Below are 1177 nucleotides of genomic sequence, written 5' to 3'. Positions count from 1 at the left end.
AGGGGGCAGGGTGTTGAGTGGGGCATTGACTGCAAAGGGAACAGGGGATGTCTCGAGGTGATAGCATGTTCCCTGTCATAAGCATGGTGATGGTTACCTGGCTGCATTCATTTGTCAGAACTCAACAAATTGTAGATTAAAATTGGTGGATTTTATTGCATGTAAATAATAATTCTATAAACCCGAATAACACAAAATAATGCTGAGGGGAAGAAACCAGCCATAATGTGAAGATAATGGCCAAAAGAAACTAAAATCCTGATAGTCTCCATTTTAGCAGAGGCAAACTGATTAGGAGCCTAGAAGCCTCATTACCTTTCAAACACTTGAGCAATGTCAGCCCATTAATCCATGCTCTCAGCGAGCAGAAGAAGAGCTAGAAATGGCCTTAATGATTCTGGGTGAGATAAGCAGCCATGTCCCACAGTACTCTGCCTGCTCCATAAATACTGAATGATGGAAGGACAGCAGGAGACAGGGAAGAAAAGAGGGCATTGTTCAACACCCCAGGGTTGTCAGGGCCGACTGTGGGCTGGCCGCTGGGCATTGAGGATATGGCAGAAAACAACAGACACATACTCATGAAGATGACTCATGCAGAGAATCAACTATTCACAGATAATCTTTCAAATTCTTAGAATTCCAATTATGCTAACTGCCATGAAAAAGTGAGCAGTATTGTGAAAGTTTCCAGGAATATGCGTCGTTTAAAATGAGACTTAAAGAGTCATTGGAAATTGGTCAGGTTAAAAGAGGGAAGAAAATTATCCTAAGCTGAAGAAACAATTAAAAAAAAATCAAACCACGACATACTTGAAAATCTCAAAGGCTGGCATGCCTGGAGCAGAGCAAGCAATGGAAAAGATGCTGAGAAATGAGGAAATGAGGACAGATCTGCAGTTCTCCACTTTTACTGCATGTGAAAATCACATGGATCGCTTTGAAAACGTTATCTATGTGCAGGCCCTATTCTAGTTAGCTAAATCAAAAGCTCCTTCTTGGGGGGAAGAAAAAAGCTCTCTAGTTGTTCCTCATTAGCGAAGATGGTTGAGACCCTCAGGGTAGAAAGACAGGCAAAAGCCAGGTCAAACAGAGCCATATAGACTGGTTCGAGGACTGGACACCATCTCTTAAAGGTAATGGGAAACCAACGGGAAGACATTGAAGTGAGAATTCA

General features: G+C 42.2%; 1 annotated feature.

Moving 5' to 3' along the window:
* Positions 219–891: an enhancer, noted in NCBI's record as "OCT4-NANOG hESC enhancer chr20:59087400-59088072 (GRCh37/hg19 assembly coordinates)". NCBI's record gives its function as "activates a minimal SCP1, AML or CMV promoter by ChIP-STARR-seq in naive H9 embryonic stem cells {active_cell/tissue: H9 hESC(naive)}" and the evidence as "EXISTENCE:reporter gene assay evidence [ECO:0000049][PMID:30033119]".

The sequence above is a fragment of the Homo sapiens genome, chromosome 20 (assembly GCF_000001405.40).
Source record: "Homo sapiens chromosome 20, GRCh38.p14 Primary Assembly".
In the NCBI taxonomy this organism is placed as follows: Eukaryota; Metazoa; Chordata; class Mammalia; order Primates; family Hominidae; genus Homo; species Homo sapiens.
Note: the sequence above shows the minus strand (reverse complement) of the source record. Positions and strands in the feature narration are given on the sequence as shown.